The sequence below is a fragment of the Homo sapiens genome, chromosome 12 (assembly GCF_000001405.40).
Source record: "Homo sapiens chromosome 12, GRCh38.p14 Primary Assembly".
Classification (NCBI taxonomy): domain Eukaryota; kingdom Metazoa; phylum Chordata; class Mammalia; order Primates; family Hominidae; genus Homo; species Homo sapiens.
This window is the reverse complement of record NC_000012.12, coordinates 109,908,144-109,934,924: the sequence shown is the minus strand read 5'-3', so window position 1 is coordinate 109,934,924 and position 26,781 is coordinate 109,908,144. Positions and strand designations below refer to the sequence as shown.

The 26,781-nt window shown below is 49.9% G+C and overlaps 2 protein-coding genes across 25 annotated transcripts in view, besides 6 other annotated features; one reads left to right on the top strand and one right to left on the bottom strand.

Annotated features, from left to right (window-relative positions):
- Window positions 1-5,121, top strand: part of GIT2 (GIT ArfGAP 2) — a 70,361-nt gene extending 65,240 nt beyond the window's left edge. For all 17 annotated transcript variants that reach the window (XM_047429924.1, XM_047429926.1, XM_047429925.1 and 14 more), the window contains 2 exons: window positions 840-903; window positions 1,735-5,121. In XM_047429924.1, coding sequence (XP_047285880.1) covers window positions 840-903; window positions 1,735-1,947 — 277 coding nt within the window. In that variant the 3' untranslated portion in view covers window positions 1,948-5,121. The remainder of the gene's footprint in view (window positions 1-839; window positions 904-1,734) is intronic.
- Window positions 1,098-2,297: an enhancer, noted in NCBI's record as "CDK7 strongly-dependent group 2 enhancer chr12:110370433-110371632 (GRCh37/hg19 assembly coordinates)". NCBI's record gives its function as "activates an origin of replication core promoter dependent on BRD2, BRD4, P300/CBP, MED14 and CDK7 cofactors, with strong dependence on CDK7, by STARR-seq in HCT116 cells {active_cell/tissue: HCT116}" and the evidence as "EXISTENCE:reporter gene assay evidence [ECO:0000049][PMID:35650434]".
- Window positions 7,994-8,973: an enhancer, noted in NCBI's record as "H3K27ac-H3K4me1 hESC enhancer chr12:110363757-110364736 (GRCh37/hg19 assembly coordinates)". NCBI's record gives its function as "activates a minimal SCP1, AML or CMV promoter by ChIP-STARR-seq in primed H9 embryonic stem cells {active_cell/tissue: H9 hESC(primed)}" and the evidence as "EXISTENCE:reporter gene assay evidence [ECO:0000049][PMID:30033119]".
- Window positions 8,974-9,954: an enhancer, noted in NCBI's record as "H3K27ac-H3K4me1 hESC enhancer chr12:110362776-110363756 (GRCh37/hg19 assembly coordinates)". NCBI's record gives its function as "activates a minimal SCP1, AML or CMV promoter by ChIP-STARR-seq in primed H9 embryonic stem cells {active_cell/tissue: H9 hESC(primed)}" and the evidence as "EXISTENCE:reporter gene assay evidence [ECO:0000049][PMID:30033119]".
- Window positions 10,459-11,314: an enhancer, noted in NCBI's record as "H3K27ac-H3K4me1 hESC enhancer chr12:110361416-110362271 (GRCh37/hg19 assembly coordinates)". NCBI's record gives its function as "activates a minimal SCP1, AML or CMV promoter by ChIP-STARR-seq in naive H9 embryonic stem cells {active_cell/tissue: H9 hESC(naive)}" and the evidence as "EXISTENCE:reporter gene assay evidence [ECO:0000049][PMID:30033119]".
- Window positions 13,973-14,473: an enhancer, noted in NCBI's record as "H3K4me1 hESC enhancer chr12:110358257-110358757 (GRCh37/hg19 assembly coordinates)". NCBI's record gives its function as "activates a minimal SCP1, AML or CMV promoter by ChIP-STARR-seq in primed H9 embryonic stem cells {active_cell/tissue: H9 hESC(primed)}" and the evidence as "EXISTENCE:reporter gene assay evidence [ECO:0000049][PMID:30033119]".
- Window positions 16,856-26,781, bottom strand: part of TCHP (trichoplein keratin filament binding) — a 37,403-nt gene continuing 27,477 nt past the window's right edge. For 6 of the 8 annotated variants that reach the window (XM_011538837.2, NM_001143852.2, XM_011538836.3 and 3 more), the window contains 7 exons: window positions 26,227-26,339; window positions 25,988-26,054; window positions 23,690-23,862; window positions 21,853-21,934; window positions 20,298-20,483; window positions 19,379-19,522; window positions 16,856-18,334 (listed from right to left, as the gene is read on the bottom strand). In XM_011538837.2, the coding sequence (XP_011537139.1) occupies window positions 18,302-18,334; window positions 19,379-19,522; window positions 20,298-20,483; window positions 21,853-21,934; window positions 23,690-23,862; window positions 25,988-26,054; window positions 26,227-26,339 (798 nt within the window). In that variant the 3' untranslated portion in view covers window positions 16,856-18,301. Of the gene's footprint in view, window positions 18,335-19,378; window positions 19,523-20,297; window positions 20,484-21,852; window positions 21,935-23,689; window positions 23,863-25,987; window positions 26,055-26,226; window positions 26,340-26,781 lie in introns of those variants that run through there. The other 2 variants (XM_017020024.1, XM_047429668.1) reach the window with 2 other exon arrangements.
- Window positions 18,570-18,814: a silencer, noted in NCBI's record as "fragment chr12:110353916-110354160 (GRCh37/hg19 assembly coordinates)". NCBI's record gives its function as "represses an EF-1alpha promoter that drives an FKBP-Casp9 reporter gene in an ReSE screen in K562 erythroleukemia cells {active_cell/tissue: K562}" and the evidence as "EXISTENCE:reporter gene assay evidence [ECO:0000049][PMID:32094911]".

Genomic DNA, 26,781 nt, shown 5'->3' with positions numbered 1-26,781 from the left:
TTTGTATTTTTAGTAGAGACGGGATTTCACCATGTCGTTCAGGCTGGTCTCAAACTCCTGACCTCAGGTGATCCGCCCGCTTTGGCCTCCCAAAGTGCTGGGATTACAGGCGTGAGCCACTGCGCCCGGCCGACAGTTTTAATTATAATAGTTTTGAAACTAGACTTGTTACAAAGGTGAAGTGCATAAGTTGCTTATGACAATCTATTCAGAAGCCAACTTCATGGTTTAAAAAATGGGGAAAGGGCTGGACACCGTGGCTCACACCTGTAACCCCAGCACTTTGGAGGCTGAGGCAAGAGATTCACTTGAATCCAGGAGTTCAACACAAGGCTGGGCGACATAGTGGGACTCCTCTACAAAAAAATATTTAAAAATCAGCCAGGCATGGCGGTGCATGCCTGAAGTTCCAGCTACTTGAGAGACTCCAATTCTAATTTTAAGGAATTTTTTCAGTCCTTTATTTTTCACTTCTGTGGCCTTTTGCATGGAAATCCTTTCTCTTTCTAGAAATTGGGACGATGAAACACATGAGAAGTAAATGACTGACGTGAGGAGGGGTGAATTATGTTTCTGTACTGTTGTGTGGCCTCACCTGACCAAGAGTGTATGTTGCCATATTTCATACCTGGAGACTTTTCATCAGATTGAACTTTTAGGAAGCAATGAGAGTCCTGCTTTATAACCATGTGCCCTCTGGTGGTGTGGGATGCACGGCTGACTGCAGCCCTAGCCCCTTCATGAAGGGAATGTAAACAGAATCTGTTCTAGCACTTGAGTCCTCTTTGCCTCCGAATCATTTTTACTGTCATTGAATAACTTCTTCAATATTCTTGCAGTTATATTCCCTGCTCAGAGAGGATACACGTAGCTGTTACAGAAATGGCAGCATTATTCCCCAAAGTAAGTCACTTCCTACTCACTTGGTTTAAATCCTTTTAAATGAACAGCAAGAAATTTCTTTATGACCTATATATTACATTAGCTTTTTTGTAGCACATGCAGTTTTAAAATATGCAGTCGAGGCCGGGTGTGGTGGCTCACGCCTGTAACCCCAGCACTTTGGGAGGCCGAGACAGGCAGATCACCTGAGGTCGGGAGTTCGAGGCCAGCCTGACCAACATGGAGAGACCCTGTCTCTACTAAAAATACAAAATTAGTCAGGCGTGGTGGTGCATGCCTGTAATCCCAGCTACTCAGGAGGCTGAAGCAGGAGAATCGCTTGAACCCAGGAGGCGGAGGTTGCAGTGAGTCAAGATCGTGCCATTGCGCTCCAGCCTGGGCAACAAGAGTGAAACTCAAGTCTCAAAAAAAAGTAAAATAAAATAAAATATGCAGTCGTATAGAGCTTTGAAATATTTTTGTTCTGCATGAATGTTGATTTAATAAGACAAGGATATACAAGTCGTGCTAAAAGGCACATTTTAAAATTTATAGGATTTTCTGGAATATTTTACCCACATGGATTAATATTTTTCAAAAACTACTTCAAAATACCACATACTACTAAAATTACCCTGCATGCACTTTGACCTTTGAATCAGAATATTTCAGCATCTCTTACGCTGTGGGCTGCAAAGCTTGGAGTGTGTGAAGCACCCCTTTGAGAAAGGGCAGGACCAAACCGCCTTTCACTCTGGGGAGCAGCTTGGTTTGCTTTAGAAGAATGTTTGTCCCCTGCTTTTGGATGTCTGCCCTGCAGTTCAGGGTAAACGGCTGTCTTTTTCCTTTTAGAAACCCAAGTCTGATATGGTGAGGACTTCCCTTCGTTTACTGACGTCCAGTGCCTACCGACTGCAGTCAGAGTGCAAGAAGACCCTCCCAGGGGACCCCGGCTCACCCACAGACGTTCAGCTGGTCACGCAGCAGGTCATCCAGTGTGCGTACGACATCGCCAAGGCTGCCAAGCAGCTGGTTACCATCACCACCAAAGAGAACAACAACTGACAAGGGCAGGGCACCGCCTCCTCTGTTTTCTAGGCTTTATAAAGTCCAATTTCAAATTCAGACGCAGAACTCTTCAGATTTCTACAAAAAGAAACATTTAATGACGGTTTAAAACTTTTTAAAAGAAAACTCAGTATTATTTTTGCATGTTTTCTAACCAATTTTCAACTATTTAACCCACTTGCCTTATTTTGTGCCTATTTGCTGGTTTAGTTTCTGATGTTCGGTTGTGTTGTCAACAACTGTTGAGTTGATCACATACATCCAAAAGTATAGTTTCATTGTCTAAAGTTTGTGAAAACTTTTCCATCCCTTAAAACTCCCTGCCTATGGCTGAAACTATAAATGAAATTTTTCATAAAACATTTTCTTGAGAGAGTTCAGTTAAAAAAGAAAAAATCAGCGTCATTTGTTCCCTGCCAAGCATCGTGCAATAAGTGAATTTCCTGGCCTACTTCATAATCTCTAAGTTTGGGGTATCTCCAAGCATGTATGTAGAGAAAGGACTTTGCCGCTTTTTAAAACTAGTGTCACAGTCTCTCTTGGGAGGAAACAATGAATTGGTTCATTTCTTCTCAGTGTTTTACCCTGTTACATGTTCTGTTATTTAATGTTGTTATCTCAAGCTCCTATCTCTTGATGTTTTCTTGTCATCTTGAAGGCTCCATGGAATGAGATAAAGCATTGACCCACCACAGGACATCTCATGAAGCCATGTTCAGGGTAGGAGCTCCACGCACATCACCACCCATTGTCAGGTGCTCTCCCTCACCCCTGTAAGCCAGACAGTTTGTTCAAAACCTGCAGCAAAGAGAAGCATCAGTCTAACAAGCCAGAACTCATTTTGTGCCACCCATTTAGGTATCACTACCATGAACTATAGGGAAAAGAAATCACCTACTCCCTGACACTGTGTTGTACCCTTCATCCAAAAGTCAGCTTGCTTCTCTGACCACTTACAGCTTTCTCACATGAGTTGCTTCACATTTTTCATCATCTTTAAGGACTTCTTATAAGGAAAGATGTATCGTATCGCAGTCATCTGAGTTAGTTTCTCCTCCATCACCTCATGAGTACTTAAAAATTAGACATCAACTTTCAAGAGTTCCTTAGAGAGTGTGCTCTAGCTGGCTGCCTGCTACCCCAAAGCTCTGAAAGAGTAAGGTTGAAGTGCTGGAACATGCTCAGATTGTTTTTTAGTTACTCAAAAGCCCCTTCTTGTTCTGAATGTGAAAGCTCTTCCCGTTCCTGCTTACTGCAGCCATTCTGTGTGTGTGGTTCAGACCCTGGCCTAGGGCCGGTGATGTGGATGAGTGAAGGGAGCCAGGTACACGGCAGCAGGGCAGAGGAGACTATGGGGAGCCCACCGCCTACACAGTAGGGGCAGTAGCCCCCAGCTCCACGCCTGTTGCCATGTGGAAAAGTGGGCCTAGGGTGGCCACAGCTTTGATTTTTCAAGAGACAAGAAACCTAGATGTTTTTTGGTGCCATCTCTCCATTTATAAATGTTGGCAACCAATTTGAACACTTTCAGAGACCATGTGCAGGTGAGCTGTGTCCTCTAGGCTGCCAGCTCACAGCCCCCACCCCAGGGCCCTGTAAGCTGTGCAGTGTGAGGGCCTGGCTTCCCCGGACACACCTGGAGCAGCCTCTGAGTCTTACCCGTAATGGAGCCGGCCAACCCTGTGTGTTATGTTGCTGTCGCTCCTGTTTTTAACCATATGTTCTGTCCCATAGCAGTCATTCACACATGTGAAGAAGACACAAGAATCAAAGTACAAGTTGCCTCAATACATGCTAATAACTAAGCTTCTATTTTCACAGGACTGATCGATGCACACCTTTATAGCTTGACCATATGCTGTCATGAAAGTAGCACCCCGACGGTGCTTGCTTTACTAAGTCACCGTGTGTGGATGCTTTTGTCGCATTTTGCTTCACTGTGAGTAGCATGGGAAAAGGGTCCACGTCTCCAAAAGACTCTTCCACTTGTTTGTCCCACAGCCCTAAGTGCCACATTGCTGTTGGATGCTCCCGGGATGCCTTCTAGAAGGGGGCCTCCCACCTTAAGTTCAGGCGCCATCTGATAGCCTTTTCTGCAGGCTTCATGTCCTTAGCTGACCCTCCTTTATCTTGCAAACCCCTGCCCCTGCTGTCCCAGGGAGGACGGGCTTCTGTAGAGGCTTCTGGGAAATGAGCTGTCTGCAGGAGGTGAAGCAGTGTTTTCCTTGGAATGTTTGAGGACCTGCAATAGAAGATGTTGCCTTTATGGCCCTAGAGAAAGTCAAGGAACATGGGGACCAACAAAGCATTTCCAGTTGTAAGAATATGTCAGAAGAGTGCTCGGTTAGCCCACGGTGCCAAAACTCCAAACAAGTTCCCCGGTGGAATGACGTGGCCATTGGAGGGCTGCAGGTCGTCCTCTCTGTATGTGCCCCGCGCATTTCCTTGGCCTCATCTGAGATCTGGTGTCAGAGTTCTCTGCTCCTGTTGGCAAATCGCACCTTATCTGAACATTTGTTCCAGCCACCTTTTGCACATGGATTCCGTACCTTGCACTAGCAATGTCTACCTTCAGTAACGTCGTTCTTTTTCACCCTGTATTCTCAATGATCCCTTCCTCCCCATATGCCACCCTTCCCCCAAAGCTGATAGGGCAGAGGTGCACTTTATGAAACTGGCACTTGACTGAACAGAAGGAAACAGCTGTACCTCTAAGCTCCTTTCACAGAAATCGTCATCTGCCTTGGAATGCAAATAGTTCTTATTTGCCAAAGAACAGTGAATTGGGCCCAAAGATCAAACACAGCATTTCATGTAATCAGAATTCTAAACGCACAACTCGGGAGCTGTGCACGGCTTCTCAAGTGATTCAGTTGCAGAACCAAGAGCAAAACTCGCCTGTTTTTGTCCTCAATGGCACCCATGAGCTTTCCAATAGTATAGTTTTCTTTCTTTCCTTGTCCTGGTTGAAGGTAACGTGTTCCTAGAAAAGAAAATGCTGCATAGGAAAACTGAGATGCCTTTTATTCCAACGTGTTTGATCCCTGTCACTCATTATTCTGTACTTTTTATTGTACATTCTATTCCTGTAATTATTGTGCCCTTTAAGTGTTGTAAAATCGTTTTGGAATTTGTGCCTGCTAGTTATGCAATAAACAGGCTCTACAAGTGTTTTTGTGGTAATGCTGTGCTCCCCATCAATTAGTTGATGTTTCCAGATACTCTGTAAAAGGTCTGAGGAAGTTCTCCCAAAACGCCATCATTAGTGAGATGCAGTGTTTCATATGCTTTGGGGCTCTGCAGTTTTACAGTAATGACTATCTTTTTCTTCCTCTGTGCTTAGCAAATAGGTTTTGTTTTGTTTTGTTTTTTTGTTTTTTTTGAGATGGAGTTTCACTCTTGTTGCCCGGGCTGGAGTGCAATGACGCGATCTCGGCTCGACGTGATCTCGGCTCACCGCAACCTCCGCCTCCCGGGTTCAAGTGATTCTCCTACCTCAGCCTCAGAAGTAGCTGGGATTACAGGCATGCACCACCCCACCCGGTTAATTTTGTATTTTTAGTAGAGACAGGGTTTCACCATGTTGCTCAGGCTGGTCTTGAACTCCCAACCTGAGGTGATCTGCCCGCATCGGCCTCCCAAAGTGCTGGGATTACAGGTGTGAGCCACGGCACCCAGAGCAAATAGCTTTCTTTGAACGCTGCATCAAGATACTAGTTCCATGCATCTTATCATAATATATTTATTCCCTAAGTTTAATGTTTTTTTCTTTTGGAGAGAGGATCTCACTCTGTCACCCAGGCTGGAGTGCAGTGGTGTGATCTCAGCTCACTGCAACCTCCATCTCCTGGGTTCAAGCGATTCTCGTGCCTCAGCCTCCCAAGTAGCTGGGATTACAGGCATGCACCACCACCCCTGGCTAATTTTTTGTATTTTTAGATATGGGGTTTCACCATGTTACCCAGGCTGGTGCGAACTCCTGGCCTCAAGTGATCCACCCGCCTCGGCCTCCCAAACTGCTGGGATTACAGACGTGAGCCACTGTGCCTGGCCCCTACGTTTAATTTTTTTAATGCAGCGAAAGCCAGCCCAGCACAGATGCCCTCCCTTCTTCCTAACAGGTGATGGGGTCCTGGAATGAGCTCAGTGTCTTAAAACCACTGGTCTTATTTTATTTTCAGAGAAAGGCCACCTGTGCAGGTTCCTAGGGGGAGCTGGTATAGATTTGCATGGGGGTTCATCAGGGCTGCCCATGGTCACCAGTGATTGTCCTCTGGTTAGGTGACTTGGGACTCTACTCCCAAATGGAAGAAGGGTGGGGTAGGGCCTGAGCACCACGGGTACTTTTCCAAGTGAGAAGTCAGAAAGATGCCACGTCCTCGCTGTGATCCTGCTTGTTCAGGGGGACGTCTGTGCAGGCTTAGGACCAGTGTCTCACACAGCTCACACCCAGAGCAACCTCCTCAGGCAAGGAGGCTCAAAAGAGCCAGCAGCAGACCTCCTGGAACCCTGGCAGGCTCACCATGCCGGGCCCCCACAGTCTGGTTCAGCAGCTCTGGGGTGGGGCCCAGGAGTAGGCACTTCTAACAGGTTCCAGGGACCACACTCTGCGAAGCTCTGCTGTAGACCGTTTCCAGGCCTTTCCCACCACACAGCTCCTTGGCTTCTGCTTTTAAACATGTTTTAGTGTAGGAGAGTCATGTGAAGTCATCATTATAATTTTAGCTGACATTTCCTCTGTGCCAGGCACTGTGCTGAGTTCTTTTTTTTTTTCTTTTTTGAGACAGGCTGGACCGTAGCAGCGTGATCTCAGCTCACCACAACCTCTACCTCCCGGGTTCAAGCAATTCTCCTGCCTCAGTCTCCCGAGTAGCTGGAACTACAGGTGCGTGCCACCATGCCCAGCTAATTTTTTTGTATTTTTTTTAGTAGAGACGGGGTTTCACTATGTTGGCCAGGCTGGTCTCCAACTCCTGACTTCATGATCTGTCTGCCTCGGCCTCCCAAAGTGCTAGGATTACAGGCGTGAGCCACCACGCCTGGCCTGTGCTGAGTTCTTGACACATGTTCATTCATTTCATCCTCACTACAGCCAGATGAAGTGAGTGGTTTCTTCCCATTTTTCAGATAAGGATGTTTACAGCCCAGGAGGCCGAGCCTCACATCCAAGGAGAGAGTGTGTCAGTTGCTGTCATGCTCCTTACTCCTCTTCACCACCAGGGTGCGCTTCCCAGCCTCCGGCGGAGTCACAATGTTACAGGATCTCTGGGGTGTCGATTTTTCTGGCTGGAAATATCTGGCCAGTGCCTTTGCCTGAGTTCTTGTTGTCCTGCATCCTGGAAGAATGAGGTACGCAGACAAGTGGAGGGTGAAGACTTTTTTTTTCTTTTTTTTTTTTTTTTTTTAGACAGAGTCTTGCTCTGTTGCCCAGGCTGGAGTGCAGCGGTGCAATCTCGGCTCACTGCAACCTCCACCTCCTGGGTTCAAGCGATTCTCCTGCCTCAGCCTCCTGAGTAGCTGGGATTACAGGCACGTGCCACCATGCCCAGCTAATTTTTGTGTTTTTAGTAGAGACGGGGTTTCACCATGTTGGTCAGGCTGGTCTCGATCTCCTGACCTCGTGATCTACCCACCTCAGCCTCCCAAAGTGCTGGGATTACAGGCGTGAGCCACCATGCCTGGCCAAAGATTTTTATTTAGTGTTAGAACAGCTCCTCTCTGTAGGCAGGTCGTCCCGTCAAGTGTTCAGCTGTCAGCAGAGAGGAGGCCCTGGAGAGGGTGGCTCCTCTCCACAGGCAAGTCATTCGGACGTCTCTGCAGGTCTCTGAAGCTCTCAGTAGAGAGGGTAGCTCCTCTCTGCCAGCAGGTTGTCTCTGCAGCTCTCAGGGGAAAGGGTACTACTCCTCTCTGCAGTAGTAGAGGAGTCGTCCCATCATCTGCAGCTGTCATCAGAGAGAGCACTCCTCTCTGCAGCTGGTTGTCCCGTCATCATCTCTCCGCCCTCTCCATCCTCTGGTCTGCTCTGGCTGAGCCCAGGGCTTTTATGGACCACAGGGGGAGGAAGTGCCTGCCGACTGGTCCATGGGTGGCCATGGGCAGGCCCGTAAGAGGTACCACAAGTCCCCACTCAGGTCTGCAGGACTGGCAGCCTGGCCCCCAGCCTTCAGGCCCCCCCTGGCCTGTAGGTGAGGCCTTACTGGGGACCCTGCCCACTCCCACCCAGGACTGTCTGCCTCCTGCTGCCATTCATGGCCCCAGGGCTTGGCCCCAACCCTGCTCTGAGATGGGAGAGGGTGCTGGGAGCTGAGAGAGGCCAGGCAGTGGGAACAGACACCCCTGAGCCTGCAGAGACTGGGGGGTCCTTTCTGGGGCACCCGAGGATGCAGGCTGCAGAGACACCCAGGTCCTGCACCTGGGAGGGCAGCCACAGCTGCACCCGGGAGCTCCCGCCCCACCAACTGAGAAGAGGAAGGGTTCCCGATTGTCCCCAGCTCCTGCCTGCTTCATGGAGCGGGAGGCTCAGGTCTGCAGTCATAGGTCCAGTGGCTGCAGCTGTACCCAGGAGGGCAGATCCTGCCTCTTCCTGGATCCCCCAAGAACCCAAGAGCACAAGGAGGCTCAAATCCACAACTGCAGTTTGGGCGGCAGTAGCCCCACCCTCCTGGAGCGGGAGGCCTGGGTCTGCAGCTGCAGTTTTGGTGGCTGCAGAGGCACTGAGAGCTCCCATCCCAACCCAGAAGGGGTAAGGCTCCTAGTGGCTCCATGGAGTGTGCAGCCCCAGCTGTGCTTCCCTGCTGCAGCTGGCATAATGGCAGCAGCCACTACCATCAACAATGGAGTCGGGGCCGGGCGCGGTGGCTCATGCCTGTAATCCTAGCACTTTGGGAGGCCCAGGCGGGTGGATTACCTGAGGTCAGAAGTTTGAGACCGGCCTGGCCAACATGGTGAAACCCTGTCTCTACTAAAAATACAAAAATTAGCCAGGTGTGGTGGCAGGCTCCTGTAATCCCAGCTACTCGCAAGGCTTAGGCAGGAGAATCGCTTGAACCTGGGAGGCAGAGGTTTCAGTGAGCTGAGATCGCGCCACCGCACTCCAGCCTGGGCGACAGAGGGAGACTTTGGTTCAAAAAAAAAAACTAATGGAGTCAGGGAAGGTGGGCTCCACGTGGAGCTGGCACTGCTGGGCTGGCTGCACTGCAGCGCCTCAAAGGCTCCTCCCCATGAGTCTAGATATGGGGGGGCAGGTGGGCAACAGGCTATGTAAACAGATAACTTTCACAGCCGTGACAGTTGCTGCCCTCACAGCCTAGAGGCCCTCGAGCAGGGGGCTGAGTCCCTGGCGCCTGGACCTCTCTAGCGTTTGTGGAATGGCTGACTGGAAGGACTGTCTGAGCGCCTGTCCCCTTGCTCACAACACTGTGACCGCAGCAGTCTCTATCCCCTGAAGCTGATAGGGCAGAAGTGCACTCGGCGACCATCTGAGGAGCTGCTCGCTGTCCAGCAGGCCGGGCGCGTGAGGTTGCCCAGAAACAGGTCCCTGTGGTCTATGGACTCTGGGGGTCCCAGCGTCTGCTAGCCAGCCATGGAACCAGGAGCCAGAACTCCAGTCCAGGCCCGGTGGTTCCAGCTGTGTTCAAAGTATGTGTGTCAACTTCCCACCGAGTCCTGGAGGGAGGGGTGCTGGAGATGAGAAGAGGCTGGCCTGGACCCTCGCCTCATCCTCCCACCTGCCCCACCGTCCGTCCTGCCCCACACCCAGGCCCCTGCTGGGCTCACAGCTCCCCAGCTGCTATATCTCCAGTTCCTCAAACCACTCAAACCTGCTCAGAACTTCTCAGCCTCATTTGTCTCCCAAAGGAGGCTTCTCACCAAAGACCATGTCTCCTTCTCTAAAGTCTCTCTTCTCACCCAACCCCCACCTTCCCTTCTTGGGGCTCATCTTCCCCCTCCTTTGCATCATCCCACAGGCCCCCTTGGGCCTGGCTCTCCACTGCCCTTCCCTTCAGAATCCCATTCACCTAGCCCTGGCCTCTTGGCCTGGCTTAGTCCTGTAAGCCCCATTGCTCCCAGAACACTTTACATACACGATTGCTTTTTTTTCTTTTTTTTAAAGGTAGGGAGGGATTCCACTTTATTATTTTCCAAGATGACTGTCCACTTGCTCCAACACTGTTAGCAATTCATCTTTTTCTTTCTTTTCTTTCTTTCTTTCTTTCTTTTTTTTTTTTTGAGGTGGAGTTTTGCTCTCATTGCCCAGGCTGCAGTGCAATGGTGCGATCTTGGCTTGCAACCTCCGCCTCCCAGGTTCAAGCGATTATTCTGACTCTGCCTCCTGAGTAGCTGGTATTACAGGCATGCACCACCATGCTCAGCTAATTTTGTATTTTTAGTAGAGATGGGATTTCACTATGTTGGCCAGGCTGGTCTCAAACTCCCGACCTCAGGTGATCCACCCACCTTGGCCTCCCAAAGTGCTGGGATTACAGGCGTGAGCCACTGCGCTCGGCTGTCATCTTTTTCATACTACTTTTTTTTAATCACTCTGTCGCCTAGGCTAGAGTGCAGTGGCGCGATCTCAGCTCACTGCAACCTCTGCCTTCCAGGCTCAAGCAATTCTCCTGCCTCAGCCTCCTGAGTGGCTGGGATTACAGGCATGTGCCACCACACCAGGCTAATTTTTGTATTTTTCATAGAGATGGGTTTCGCCATGTTGGCCCGGCTGGTCTCGAATATCTGGCCTCAGGTGATCCTCCCACCTTGGCTTCCCAAAGTGTTGGGATTACAGGCGTGAGCCACCGTGCCTGGCCCTTCATGGGGGCGTTTTGAAGTCTAATTTGGTTTTGCAATTTGCATCCCCGGGCCTGAGTGGTACCTTGGCCCTCCCCTCCGAGCCAGGAGATGCAAATTGTCCTCCCCTCGGGGCCCAGGGATGCAAACTGCTCTCTGCTTCCCTCTTCCCGCCGCCCCTTCCCAGGACCCCACTTCAGGTTCTTCCCCAGCCCGGCCTGTTGCTTTCAGACCAGAGGGGCTGAGCTGACACCTGCACTCCGAGCAGCCACTGGGCTAAGTGCTCTGGGCATTTCCCAGTCAGTTATGAAAGCAGGCTCCCCAAGTAGGAATTAAAACTACCCCCATTTTGCAGATAAAGAAACCAAGGCTCGGCCCTTGGAGCCCAGTTCATGTTGGAGCAAGTGAGAGCACTGAGCCTGTGCTCTTAACCGCAGGGCTCGACTGGCACAGGTGGACATCCAGGCCAAGGACGACAGGCCTTCTGGAACCAGGAGAGGGTGAGGAATGGCTGTGACCCTGGCAGGGGTGTGGTGGGAGGGAGGTGTGGAGCAGAGACTTGGGGGCTCCCATCTCCTCCCAGTCCTCTTTCCTGGGAGGGTCGGAGCAGGGAGGCCCCTGGGGAGGCTGCTTACTGTGTGGTCCTCTCCTCGCCTTGGGAGGAGGCTCACAGGAATAGAGCCTGGGTGGCCGGGTTTGTATTTTGTCTTTCAATTCCTTACTGCTGCCACAAATATTTCTTGTCTTTTCTGTTTGTTTCAAATTGAGATCTTCAGTAACCACTGCTCAGGTAAGACTCTGAACTCTGTGTGGAGGACGCTGCCCAGTTCCACTGCTGGAATGATTCAAGGAGCCTCATTCACAAGCACAATGACTTCCCCCACAGCGGCCCTTCTGAAAGGAGCGGCCCTGTGCCTGCTGCTGGAAGCAGAAGCCTCCCTTCAGGGCATGGCACAGGCCGGTCCACCCCATCCCCAGAGTTGAGGGAGAGTCTCCCAGTCCAGGGAGTGCTGGGGAATGAGGTGCACAGCCAGGAGTTGACCTGCTTCCGCTGGAAGCAATGGAAATCCTGCCCAAGTCCAGTCCAAAGGCAGAGCCATGGCCAGTTCCACCCCAGGCAGGTGGACTCCTTGGGGCAGCATCCTATTGGCAGAAACAGTAGGGCCTTCTGAGCTCCATGCTTTTTTTTTGAGACGGAGTTTTGCTCTTGTTGCCCAGGGTGGAGTGCAATGGCTTGATCTCGGCTCACTGCAACCTCCAACTCCCGGGTTCAAGCAATTCTCCTGCCTCAGCCTCCCAAGTAGCTGGAATTACAGGCATGCACCACCATGCCCAGCTATTTTTTGGTATTTTTAGTAGAGATGGGGTTTCTCCATGTTGGCCAGGCTGGTCTCGAACTCCTGACCTCAGGTGATCCGCCCACCTCAGCCTCCCAAGTGCTGGGATTACAGGCGTGAGCCACCGTGCCCGGCCTCTAATTTTTGTATTTTTAGTAGAGATGGGGCTTTGCCATATTGGTCAGGCTAGTCTCAAACTCCTGACCTCAGGTGATCCACCTGCCTCGGCCTCCAAAAGTGCTGGGATTACAGGTATGAGCCACCATGCCTGGCCTGAGCTCCATGCTTCCTTACTCTATCTTTTCACACCTTCACATCTCCCTTCTCCACATTTCACAGAACTGGGCCAGGAGGGTCACCCAGCCACTAAGTGGTGGGCATCAGGACTAGAACCCGGGCCAGTGTGGGCCACAGGCTGTTCTTCCCCTCACACTTGATTCAAGTGTTCTCTCAGTCTCTCTCTTATTGTGACCTATAAACAAAGAAATATGTCTGATGCATCTATGTGCAATTATAAAGTGGCTACCTGTGTAACTACCACCAGGTTAAGAAACAGAACAGTGCCTTTCTTTCAACCCTGGCTGCAACCCTGGCAGTGGTGCGGCGGGAGGGAGGTGTGGAGCAGAGACTTGGGGCTCCCATCTCCTCCCGGTCCTCCTTCCTGGGAGTGTCAGAGGAGGGAGGCCCCTGGGAAGGCTGCTTCCTGTGTGGTCCTCTCCTTGCCTTGGGAGGAGGCTTAGAGGAATAGAGCCTGGGTGGCACAGGGTCCCTCTTTCCCTTAGACTTTGGTGCCTATCACTTCCTTGCGTTTAGCTGAACCAAACCTTTGTGTGCATCCCTAGGTCACAGCTTAGGGTTTTGACTGGTTTTGAACGTGCAAACAGAACCCTATTGATGAATTCTTTCCCTTAATGTTGCAAGATTCAACTAGGTCAATGTGTGTAGCTAGTTCATTTTCTTTTCTCTTTTTTGAGACAGAGTTTCGCTCTTGTTGCCTAGGTTGGAGTGCAATGGTGCAACCTCAGCTCACCACAACCTCGCCTCCCGAGTTCAAGTGATTCTCCTGCCTCAGCCTCCCAAGTAGCTGCGATTACAGGCGTGAGCCACCGTGCCCAGCCTAGTTCATTTTCAATGTCAATGTTGTATTCGTTGAATGAATATACCAGATTTTTTATTTTAGTGAAAGGGTTTCCCTTTGTCACCTAGGCTACGTTGCAAGTGGCACAATCATAGCTCACTGCAGCCTCAACCTCCAGGGCTCAAGTGATCCTCCTGCCTCAGCCTCCCAAGTAGCTGGGACAACAGGTGCGAACCACCATGCCTATTTTTTTTTTTTTTTTTTTTAGACAGGGTCCCACTGTGTTGCCAGGCTGATCTCAAACTCCTGGGCTCAAGCAATCTTCCTGCCTCGGCCTCCAAAGTGCTGGCCTTAACTTTTTAATGTGGCAGAACATTTCTCCATAACTTTGTTTTCCACTCCACTTTAATTCACTGCATAACATCCCAAGCTCAAACAGCCTCTTGGTGTTAGATGCCTAGGTTATTGGTTTCTGTTACCATACTAATGCTGTGAGCAACATCTTTGTACCAATCTGGTATTTCTATCTTCTGGGCCAGAAGGCAGAGCAGTACATTTCAGGAAAGCTCTGCAGGGCCGGTCAGGACAGGGCCTTGTAGGCCAGGAAAGGATTTGGCTCTTGGTACTAAGTGCAGTGAGCAGCCACTGAAGAAGGTGGACGAGTCTCATTTCAGGTGTTTATTTGTAAATGATCTCTGACTCTACGATGAAGAAAAAAATGGGCTGGCTTGGTGACATGAAGGGTGGACATTAAAGAGCAAAGTGGATGGCCAAAGGTTCAGGAGGCCACCAGGAGCCGGTGCCCTCGGTCTAAGGCATAATCAACTGGCAGGATAGATGGCATCACCAGGCGCTTATCTGAGAACACTGCAGAAGGGCCAGATGCGTCTGGGGTTTTTTTTCTGATGGGGGTTTGGGGGAGATCACTCATTCGTCTTGGCTATGCTGAGCTTGAGGCACCTCTGAGACACCGTGGAGATGTCAGAGAGGTAGGGACATCAGAGTCTGGACTAGAGCTGCAGAGCCAGGAGTTACTGATGTGAGGATGGCAGCAGAAGGCAGAGGCCTGGCTCACATCACCTAGGAGGGCCTGGGTGGTGAGGCCTGGGCCCAGAAAACTAGCACTGCTCCATTATGACCGGCAGAGGCCACAGTAACTGCAAAGTATCCACAGAACCCCATGTGTATCAGCAACCCCGATGGATAGAGAAGAGCTGTACATGTGAACTGGAAGCCAGTGTCGGTGGCCCAGCTGCTTAGGTCCAGATGCTTGGTTTGTCTCAGGAGCCAGGAGTCAGCGGCACGGACCACAGTGCCGCACAGCTTGAGCACCCTCACGTGGGGGATCCCCGCCCGCCAGCCTCCTACTGTAAGCATTTCCATATGGAAATGGAAGAGGGAGTGTTGTGGGGAAATGAAGAAAGGGAGCTGCAGTGTCTAGAGCAGTTAATTGGGAGAAAATGAGAAGAAAAGCGCTAGGGCAGCGTCAAGGCAGTACCCTGACATAAATCCAGGCTTTTCCATCATGATCCTGATGGCTGTAATATGGAAAGTGGCCCCTTTCTAGTCATTTTGCTGGAGATCAACTAGAATACCTGAACTAGAAGTTATGTGCACGGAGGATTCCAGCAACTCCATTTTAATAGAAAAAACTGGAAACTAAACAAGTGACAATGAACAAACGAACGATAGTGAATTTATACAATCAGTTTCTTACAGCAGTAAAAAACTCCAGCTACCTGCAGAAAAAACCACGCATGTATCCTTTGAGGTAGATACTGTGTTTTGAGTGATACTAAGGCATAAACATCCCTCTAAAAGGAAGACATTACAATGTAAAATCAGTTTCCTAAAATCCAACTCCACAGAGCTTCATGGCTGAATTTAGTCGAGGTCATCAAGAACTGCTAAGGCCAGTGTTTTTAAAGGCTTTACAATATCTTTTAAATGATTGCTCTATATTTTATGAACACCAAAAACTACCTAAAAACCCAGATGAAAAAGTCGTATCCATAAATATGGATGTATAGACTGTACATATTGCACAAACATCTCTTCAGCCCCATGAGTGACAACTGGCTGTTTGCCAGTGACGTCTGCTCATCCATGTGTCCGATTCGAGCGTCTGACTCTTGTCACTGTTCATGGTCAGCTGTGACTTCCCAGGCCTAGTACCTTCCCTAGAGAGAACGTGTGCTAAGCGAGGAGCAGAAAGCGAGGTTTTTTTTTTTGAGACGGAGTCTTGCTCTGTCATCCAGGCTGGAATGCAGTGGCATGATCTCAGCTCACTGCAACCCCCACCTCCCGGTTCAAGTTATTCCCCTGCCTCAGCCTCCCAAGTAGCTGGGACTACAGGCAAGCGCCACCATGCCCAGCTAACCTTTTGTATTTTAGTAGAGACGGGATTTCACTATGTTGGCCAGGATGGTCTCGATCTCCTGACCTCGTGATCTGCCTGCCTCGGCCTCCCAAAGTGTTGGGATTACAGGCGTGAGCCACTGCGCCCAGCCAAGTCATCACTTCTATACCAGTGCAAGAAGCATTTCCTAGCAGTGGTTTCAGCACCATCTGTACCAAAGGAATGGACCTTTGTAGAAGAAACTGCCAAAGAATAATCTAGAAACCACTCATTTCGAGTCAGTAGAAAAAGGTGCTTAGCAACAATAAAACCCATATATGTATCTGTAACTACAACACAATAAAAATACAAAATGCAAATACCCTGGGCCCAGAGGTGTATGGGCCACAGTAGAAATAGTAAGACAGTGGAAACTTTAAGTTTAGAAAACAAATTATTTTGGACCAGTGTAGAGCAGAAACATTTAATTAGGGCAGTGAACCAGTGTAACATAATTTTAATGCTAATGATTACCACCAGGCTTCAAAAACAAAAAATTAGGCTGGGTGTGGTGGCTCACACCTGTAATCCCAGCACTTTGGGAGACAGAGGAGGAAGGTGGATCACTTGAGATCAGGAGTTCGAGATCAGCCTGGCCAACATGGAGAAACCCTGTCTCCACTAAAAATACAAAACTGGCCAGGCGTGGTGGCTCACGCCTGTAATCCCAACTACTCGGGAGGCAGAGGCAGGAGAACCACTTGAACCCGGGAGGCGGAGATTGCGGTGAGACGAGATCACACTATTGCACGCCAGCCTGGGCAACAAGAGTGAGACTCTGTATCAAAAAAAAAAAAAAAAAAAAAATTCAGGCCAGGAACAGTGGCTCATGCCTGTAATCCTAGCACTTTCAGAGGCTGAGATAGGCGGATCACTTGAGCCCAGGAGTTCGAGACCAGCTTGGGCAACATGGCAAGAGCCCTATCTCTACTAAATTAGCCAGGCCTGGTGGCACACACCTGTAGTTCCAGCTACTGGGGCGGCTGAAGTGGGAGGATCACTTGAACTTGGGAGGTGGAGGTTGCAGTGAGCTGAGATTGCACTGCTACACCCCAGCCTGGGTGACAGAACAAAGCCGTGTTTCAAAAAAAAAAAGGTTTAAACTCAGTTCACTGTGGTTCCAATTGAAAGAAGGGAGAAACCACTTTCCTAAGAAAAATGAATATAACCTATAAAACGTGATCAGTCATAGAAAATAGCCAAGCCTGTATGTGGGAGATGTGGATTAAATCAGTAAAAAGCCTGTCACCAACAATGCACTTAACGGCAGTCAATCAGAAAATCCGTAACAAAGCCAGGAAGCCATGCTGTCGAAGCAGGATTTTATTTCACCATTACTGGACATCTGAAATGGGGAACGCAACAGAGAGCATGCGTGATGAACGTGCTGCTCAGGGGATCAGAGTCAAAGAGTTGCAAGAAAATGAACAACAGATGAAGGACGTGGTTTGCAGCTTGATCTGTTTCTACAGGACAGTGGAAGTGAAAGGTAAGACAGCCCTTAAGACTCAGGATTTTTAATAAACTCTGATTTTTAATAACCATGGAACAATGCCCTGTAATTAGCTGTAATTTACGGAGATATGGAATCTTGAACATAATGTGATGAAAACTAAACCTCAGAGGAAGGGTATAGTAAAAATACAAGTCATAAAATAATATTATTGCTGCAAGGAACTTGTTCCTGTTTGTAGAAATGAATGTAGACCTGTATCACGCTGATATAATGGTGGGAGAGATTTCTGGCCGGTCTGTGGTTCTGAGACTCATCTAGTTTCTTCAGGCTCAGTGCTTCTCCCTCTGGGCACATATATCCCAGAAGGCTACATGTAGTAGCCAAGACATTCCCAATGTGTCCTACGTGTCACGCCCCTGCCTTTAAAAGGTTAGCCAACCAGGTGACCTTCTAAGGTACCTTTTTGGTTTTAGAGATGGGGTCTCACTCTTTTGCCCAGGTTGGACTCGAACTCCTGGGCTCAAGCAATCCTCTTGCCGCAGCCTCCCGGGTAGCTGGGACTAAAGGCACGTGCCACCACACCCAGTTTGAAGTTCGTTTTGGGGCTTAGTAACATACATGTTGGGATCAGTCACTCACAGACAATGCTCTATGGAAATTCTACCAAAATGCTTCCTGGAGGAGGAAAGACTCATCTCTTGCCACTTTTCTGGAATGCGTCCATGGACGTCAGAGTGTTCCGGGGTTCTAATTTGTTCACAGTTCTTTTCTTCCAGAATATAAAAGATGTAATACTTTTGGGACCACTAAATTAATAAACTCTGAAATCAACTGCACCAAGACCTCTAGGTTTGTTTTTAATAGACTAAATTTAAATGGCAATTTTAAAAACTGAAAAGCTTTCCTCATATTTCTAGAGTCAACACTGGAGGTTGACAATTAAAGGTGAGACAACAGGAAACCACACGCCCCATCACAGGTACAACCTGTGGCTCTTAGTATTGACCTTCAGTTGATGTGACTGTTAATATATTACAAGACTATGCAGCAGCGCTGTAAACACGTGCCCATCAAAGACCCTTGCTTGGGTAAGAAAGGCATGAAAGGGACTCTCACGACACCTTAATGTCTGGCCAAACACTGGGATGTTTCAATGATGAACCTGAGCAGGCACTGCTGAGCCATCTGACAGTGCCCCGGGCACTTACTGTTAACAGAGCCCTGTAAAACTGCCTGGCGGCTGGGATCAGAAGCCTCAGCATCCCTTGTTCTCTGTACTTATGGTACCCATGAAGTCAGTTCCAAGCAATTTTTGGATGTCCGTAAGGCTGAGAAAAGAAAGAAAACATAAGAGTGATCAGATCAGCAGTATCTGCAGCATGAGGAATTAACCTTGTTTTAACTACAAGCTAAAAGAACAATATAAATGGCTGTTTCATTTCCAGCTGAAAAAATCTGACCCTAAGCCATAAATGAGGCACTTGATATCTTTTTGGTTTTGAGTACTAGCCCTAAGAAACACTTTCACATATGATCTGTGAAACCCTGACCCTGACACTCTCACTGATCCACGGCCAAGTGGGTTTAGGAAATGCTGTTCCCTGTGACTGTGACAGTCAGTGTTTGAGGGCGAGTGGCCTATGGCAAACGCAGCACCTGCTCTAATTATGTTTCACTCAGTTTCCCAGTGTCATCTGACCACAAGGGAGCCAGCCCTCATTCTGCAGCATGTGTCCTGGGGAATGCACTCTAGGCACCGGGTGGCCAGGGTGGCCCTAGGTAAAGGAGGGCAGAGGGGACAAGCCAGCAGTGGAGGTGCTTCAGTCATCAGCTTCCTCAGGGCAGGGAAGGCAGCATTTGCTTCTCTGTGCTCCCCATGGTGCTGTGCAGACAGGTCCGGGAACAAAGACACTGAGAGGCAGAGAAACAGATACACACACGGGAGGGAGGGGAGGAAGAGGACACCCACAGGAGGGAGGGAGGGGAGGTGAGGAGGAGGACTGGTCTCTTGTTCATCGGGCTTCACTGTCTCAACAGTTGAGGCCTAGATCTACTGCTCTGACCCCTCTCAGCAGCTGTGGCCACAGCTCTTCTTAGATTGACCAAAGAGGGTGGACAGGCATGCAGCTTAGTAGGCAAGGCCAGAGCAAAATCACTTCAAGGTTTGAGGCCCAACCAAGGACTGGAACAGCCCCTGTGTCAGGGCTCCCTGCTGGTCAGGGAAGAGAGAAATACAAGAGAAGAGAAACAAGGAATAACCCGGACGGCCGGAGAGCAGACCCCGGCGCGGGGCGATGAGCAGGCCCAGGGGAGCAGGGGCCGGGCAGAGTCTGTCTTGCCGGTGTTGGCCTATATCCTGGCAGACTTCCTACCTTAGGCCGGTAGCCCTGCTCAGCCATAGTCTCCGCCTCCTGCTGCAGCAGGGCATCTGAGAGCTGCTCGACCCGCCGGGCCTCCTCCTCTTCCTCCTCCTCCTGCTGGTCTGCTTCCCATGCCTGCAGCCGGCGCTCTGCAACCTGAGTGCCAAGAGCAAAGTCACCACCCCAAGACAAGGCCCACAGGGCAGAGCCCTGCCTCTGATGAGGAAGGTAAGCCTGCGGCCCTACCCAGACTGGAGAATCCAGCTGAGCAACAGCAATGCACGTGCCAAGGAACGGAAGGGAGCATGCGGGACTTGAAAGGCTGTATGCATGGTGTGTACCTCATAGAAAGCTGGAGAGGCTGTATGCGTGGCGCTTACCTCGTGGAAAGCTGGAGAGGCTGTATGCGTGGCGTGTACCTCGTGGAAAGCTGGAGAGGCTGTATGCATTGTGTGTACCTGGTAGAAAGCTGGAGAGGCTGTATGCATGGCATGTACCTCGTAGAAAGCTGGAGAGGCTGTATGCGTGGCGTGTACCTCATGGAAAGCTGGAGAGGCTATACATATGCGTGGCGTGTACCTCGTGAAAAGCTCGGCCTGTGGCCAGGTGTTTGGAGGACTGTTCTGTCTTATGTATCAGGGACTGAAATGAAGAGAGATCTATGGCCCCCGGTAAGCCAACTGCTTGCAGAAGCAGACAGAGTAAAGAGAACAGACAGCAGTACCGGCCTCACCCACACGACATGGAGGATGTGGAGGGAAAGAAGCCACAGTCAAGAGGATGAGGACTGCAGCTGGGATGGAAACGGGAGCACCGTGCTCTCAAACGTGCGCAAGCCCTGCCAGGCAGTCCAGCGGCTCTGAACCCTGTCCCATGATGATGCAGAGAACCTGGCAGGCCCGGTGCCTCCCGCCCTTGGGCTCAGCCCTACCTGGGCTTCCAGCTCCTGCTTCCTGGCCGATTTCAGCTTTTCACTCTCCTCTTTCTCGCGACGAGCCAACTCTCTCACCTCCTCAAGATTTCGAATAAGTTGCTCCCTGTGTTTCAGGGATTCCTCTTGTGCCCGTCGGTTCTGCTCAATCTTCTCTTGTATTTGCTGTTGTCTCCCTGTCAGAACCTAACCTCAGCAGAAAGAAAAGGGCAGCTTTGAGGTTGACCCTAACAGATCCTGGTTCTACAAGCCTTGGACAGGCTGCAGCCACAGCAAGGCCCAGCCTCATCCTTGGGCCTCAGGCCCAGGTACGCAGAGGCAGAGCCAGATGACAGGATTTGCTCTCACGATGTCGGCCACGCTTGCCAGTATACAAGAAATGTTTCCCTCGCAACCCAAGACACACAAAATGTATCCAGACTGTGTACTATGGAGAGACAGCTGAGTGCCAAAGAAATCAAAGGAGATGGGGATGGAGCTGTCTCCCCGGGGCCAGAGAAACCTTGGAGCAACAAGGTGAGTCTCCTTCCTATCAGCGGGTTCCAAAAACAAGAGAGCCACAAGCCACACAGATGACCAGAGGTGGAGCTGGGGTGGTCCTCTAACCTTTTGAACCTGCTGTGTTTGAGACCTGGCCCCAGAGCCGTGTGACATCTGAACTCCAGCCCAGGCCACAGTCAGGAGCAGAAAACCACCTGACACTCTCAACAGTTAGGCTGCAGGGCTGGGGGGAACAGAAAGTGGCCGCCATCAGGAGGGAAATTTAAATGAGGAAAATCAAAAGGCACTGGAGAATTCTTGGTATTTACAAGAGCAAAACATCACCAATCACGACCCAATTTCCTGTGGATTCCAAAATACAGCATACTACCAGACACAACGTAGAGTTTCTCATTTGAAACCACTTTACAACAGCTTTCAGCCCATGGGTAACACTCTCTCTTCTCCTCCCAGATTTCTCTGCGGTTGGGGTATATCTTCCACGCACAGTGTACACACTGACCAGGAAAGCAGTTATGTCCTCCAGGTCACGGCTGTCATCTACCCCGAGGGGGGAAACGTGTGGGAAGAGCCTCAGGCACCAAGAGGCTCTCTGCAGCGTTTCTCAGAATGGCTTCCAATTAGAACAACACAGCACACCCATAAGAGGGAATGGAAAGGCAGCGGGTGACAGAGGACAGTCCGTGATACAGCCCCTGACATGCCGTTTATAAAGATGTAACAGCATGTCACAACGCTTGAAGCCAAATAGCACAAGACAGTAAGAAATACATGTAGAAAAAATGTCAGGCATAGAAACAGAAGAGCAGACAGAAGCAGCAGCTACGGCTGCATACAGGATGGGCTCTGGGGGACTTTTTTCCATTTCTACTTCCTGTACTTCTGAATTCTTTTCTACTAAGCTCATATTACTTTTTCAATGATTTTTAAAGCCCACTTAAAATGACCAGAGAAGACTCTGTTCCCAGAGCATCTGGCAGGGTGACTGACCATGGACTTCCAGACACCTGCCCAAGACCCAACAGCCGGTCCACATCGCCGCAGCTGGGATTACCTCGCTCATCAGTCTGTCCCGTGCGCTGCGCTCTCGGGCCCACTCTGCCTCTCTCTTTTCCCACATCTCCTTGGCCTCCTCCCTGGGCAAACACAAAAGGGATGACAGCAGGCTCCTCCCCGCCCTGGCAGGAAGCGAGCTACGGAACAGACAGGGCTGCAGGGCACATGGCTTCTGCAGGACCACACTGCAGATAAACATCCACATGCACTTTGAAAAGATTACAATTAAGGACAGCATCCACGGAAAGTACTGTTGGAAGTTTTTCATTTTTTTTATTTTTGAGATGGGTCTCGCTCTGTTGCCCAGGCTAGAGTGCAGTGGTGCGATCTCGGCTCACTGCAACCTCCACCTCCCAGGTTCAATCGATTCTAGTACCTCAGTCTCCTGAGTAGCTGGGATTACAGGCATGTGCCACCATGTCTGGCCAATTACTGTATTTTTAGTAGAGACAGGGTTTCACCATGTTGGTCAGGCTGGTCTTGAACTCCTGATCTCAAGTGATCTACCTGCTTTGGCCTCCCAAAGTGCTGGGATTACAAGCGTGAGCCACCGTGCCTGGCCCTGTTGGAAGTATTTTAAGTTACCCTTTTAATACCCCATCTCCTTATAAAAAGGAATTGGGATGACTTACACCGTGGCTGTTTAACACAGAGATGAATGAAACCATCAGAACATGGAGAGGAGGGCGCTGCCTGTGCCTGAACCCTGCCACCGCATGCCTGTGTCACTGATAGCTCACCCTGGACGGAGTGACCTCTTCAAGTCTCCGGGTCTCACAAGCCACCACTTGGCTGGATGTCAGGACTCAGTAAGATGAGGCCTGTAAAGCACCCGGCACAGTGTCCAGCATGCAGTAAGTGCTCAATGTATGCTACTTATTATTTGATGATTTCAATCTACTAGTTTAGTCTTTAGGACCCAAACTCAGTTTTATAGATGTAAGCAGCATTCAACATCTCTATAATAACTTCCTTCTGGCTGGGCATAGTGGCTCACGCCTGTAATCCCAGCACTTTGGGAGGCCAACGCTGGCGGATCACAAGGTCAGGAGTTCAAGACCAGCCTGGCCAAGATGGTGAAACCCCATCTCTACTAAAAATACAAAAAGTAGCCGGGTGTGGTGGCGGGCGCCTGTAATCCCAGCTACTCGGGAGGCTGAGGCAGAGAATTACTTGAACCCAGGAGGCAGAGATTGCAGTCAGCCGAGATCATGCCACTGCACTCCAGCCTGGGTGACAGAGCAAGACTCTATCTCAAAAAAAAAAAAATAATTTCCTTCTAAACCTCTAAGATTTCAGATGAACACATCGTTACTCTAAACCTTAATGATTTCCACCTCAGATAATACAAGGGAAACACCCCCAGAGGCCAGGTCCATTATGAAGATGTGCTCCTCAGGAATGATGGACAACATACACAGCTATCTCTTCTTCTTCTTTTTTTTTTTTTTTTTTTTTTGAGACAGAGTCTCGTTCTGTCACCCAGGCTGGAGTGCAGTGGTGTAGTCATGGCTAATCGGAGCCCCAACCTCCTGGGCTCAAGTGATCCTCCCACTTAGCCTCCCGAGTAGTTGGAACTACAGGTATGAACAACCACGCCTGGCCAATTTGTGTATTTTTGGTAGAGCCTGGAGTTTTGCCATGTTGCCCAGGCTGATCTCAAATTCCTAGGCTCAAGCGATCCACCTGCCTCGGCCTCTCAAAGTGCTAGGATTACAGGTGTGAGCCTCCACGCCCAGCCAATAGATATTTCAGTAACAGGTGACCCATGGGGCATTTCAAGGTATCAGAGTTGAGGCCAGGAGCATCCAGCCCAGTCAGCAGCTGCCACTCACCTCAGCAGCATCTGCAGCTCTGCCTCCCGCGCCCGCTCCAGCTGCAGCTGCTCCTCAATGGCCTGCTTCATCCAGGCCACATCGGCCATGACCTGCTCCCGCCTGGCCAGGTGGAGGCGCTGGCTCTCGTCCTCCTTCTCGAGGAGGGCCTGCAGGATCCGCCTGTCTGCCTCCTAGAGGAAGCAGAGGGCGGCACGTGGCTGGGCTGGACAGAGTCCTTCTGCAATGAGAGCCTACAGAGGGGCCTGCCCTCCCTTTCCTTTCTACATAGACATTCGTGATTCTACACAGTGTTCTCAAGACAGAGATGGGAAGATCCTGGATTATTTCTGGAACAGACTGGGGATAATCACGAGGGGTGGTTCAGACACTGCACAGGCCTAGGAGCTTCTCTCTGGCTAAAGGGAGACCCAGCCACCACCACATGCCCTCGGATACACCTGGTTGCACAACTTTTTGGAATACAACTTGGCAAAAATCCCACTTATAAGAACAAAGACCACAGTGACACAAAAGTGCAAAACACTCGTTGCAGCTTTTAGGTAAGAGGGAAAAACCAGAAACAACCAAAATGCTCCTTGGTGGGGAATTAGCTACTATGTACATCAACATAATGGAAGCATTAAAATAATGCAGGAGGCTGGGCACTGGGGCTAATGCATGCAATCCCAGCACTTTGGGAGGCTGAGGTGGGAGGATCACTTGGGCCTAGGAGTTCAAGACCAGCCTGGGCAATGTAGCAAGACCCCATCTCTACAAAGCATTGTGATGTACACCTATGGTCCCAGCTACTCGAGAGGCTGAGGTGGGAGGATGGCTTGAGCCTGGCAGGTTGAGGCTGCAGTGAGCCGTGATTGCGCCATTGCAATCCAGCCTGGACAACAGAGCAAGACCCCATAAAAAACAGCTGCACACCAGGACCAACCATGCCACTGTGCCCCATGTCCTGCCCTGACCGCAGTGGGCAGGGATGGGAAGGGCAGCTTAGGTCTGTCTCCCTCACTTCAAGGGAGCTCATCAAAGTACTTAGGAATACAAAGGAGCTATCTGAAAAGAACAGGTTCAATCTAAGCATAATGACCTTTTTTTGTTTTTTTGAGACAGAGTCTCACTCTGTTGCCCAGGCTTGAGTGCAGTGGTGCAATCTCGGCTCACTGCAACCTCCACCTCCTGGGTTCAAGCAATTCTCCTGTCTCAGCCCCCCGAGTATCTGGGATTACAGGTGTGCACCACCATGCCTGGCTAGTTTTTGTTGTTGTTGTTCTTGTTTTGAGAGAAGTCTCGCTCTTGTCCCCCAGGCTTGAGTGCAACGGCTTGATCTCAGCTTATTGCAACCTCCACCTACCAGGTTCAAATGATTCTTCTGTCTCTGCCTCCCAAGTAGCTGGGATTAAGGCGCCTGCCACCACACCCGGCTAATTTTTGTATTTTTTAGTAGAGACAGGGTTATACCACATTGGCCAGGCTGGTCTCAAACTCCTGACCACAGGTGATCCGCCCGCCTCAGCCTCCCAAAGTGCTGGGATTACAGGTGTGAGCCGCCACGCCCGGCCATGTCCGGCTAGTTTTTGTATTTTTAGTAGAGATGGGGTTTCACCATGTCATTCAGGCTGGCCTCAAACTCCTGACCTCAGGTGATCCGCCTGCCTTGGCCTCTCAAAGTGCTGGGATTATAGGCGGGAGCCACCGCACCTGGCCGATCTTTTTAAAAATTAAGAGATTTAGTGTTAATTGAAGATGCTGAGGAATGCAACCTCAATTAGATTTAAATACAAAAACAAAAACCTCCACCTCTCTGTATGTAAATACATCTAGAAAGATGTGAACTAAACAGGCACCTCTGGGGATAGACAGAGATTGCAGGTGCTGGTCAAGGGGGTGATCTCACTTTGTGTTGTGCTGCTTTTTAAGTAACACAGTTACTGAAAAATAATTTGATGTTTTGATACCTGTATCTATCCATCTATGTATACACACAGACACTGGGAAAGGATCCTTACGGTCAAGCTAATTAACATATCCATCACCTCACAGTTGGTTTTCATGGTGACAACACTTAAGATTGGCTCTCTTAGCAAATTTCAAGAATACAATATGGTATCATCAGCTGTGATCAACATGATGGACACTACTCCCAGATCTCCCAACCGAGGGATGTATCCTTTGACCAACATCTCCCCTTTCCCCCAACCCCTCACTGTCTTCATTCTTACGAGAATGCACTCATATACTAAGCAATGGAAGGCCTTTTTTACAAAAGAGGCTAAGAAAGATGTCAGGCTGTCTCTTCAGACTTACCAGCTCCTCTTGGATCTGCTGTGTGCGTCTGCTGAGTTGAGCGTTATACTGATGTCTCAAGAAACGCCTGAAGGAGAATCAAATGTGGGCTGCCTTCAGTATCTCAGAAAGAATTAAATAGAAGTTAGATAACTGCTGACCAGGCTGTCTCCTTTATGGTTTCAGCAACACGAATGCAAGTCTGAAAAAGCAAGAGGCCCACCCGCCTGGGAAGAGTGGGGGGCCCTTCTGACACACACCCCAGCTCTGCCTTCTGCCGGAAGGCTTCCATCTGCTTTCGCTCTTCCTCCAGCCTCTCTAGCTCCCACCGCTGCTTCAACAGATTCTCCTGCTCCTTCTTTAGTTTGGTCGCCTGTGGTGATGATGAGAGTAAGCTCGACTGAGATCTGAGATCGTGGGAATCAGATCTTCCTTCATTCTCCATCTCCATTTTTCGCAGACACTACACCAACAGAGGCCTGGCCATGCAGGTGGTCACGATCCCCTCCCACCACTCACTTACTCATCCAATCCCCTCTGAGCCATTTCCTGCAAGGGCCTTTCTGAGCCCTGAACTCTAAACTCCCACAGGATCCTGTACTGGTCCACTCTTACTGTAACTTAACAACTGTCCTCCACCTGACACAGCCCCCACCAGGAGGTCAGGACTGTGGGCCTTGGTCAGGCTCTATCTCTAGTTCCCAACCCAGTGCTCAGCACCTAGAATAAGCAGTAGGCACTAAGAATGTAGTTGCTAAATCACGGCCTGGGCAAGGGGAAGTGAGGTCACAGGAGCATGGGCCTCCCTCTTCTAA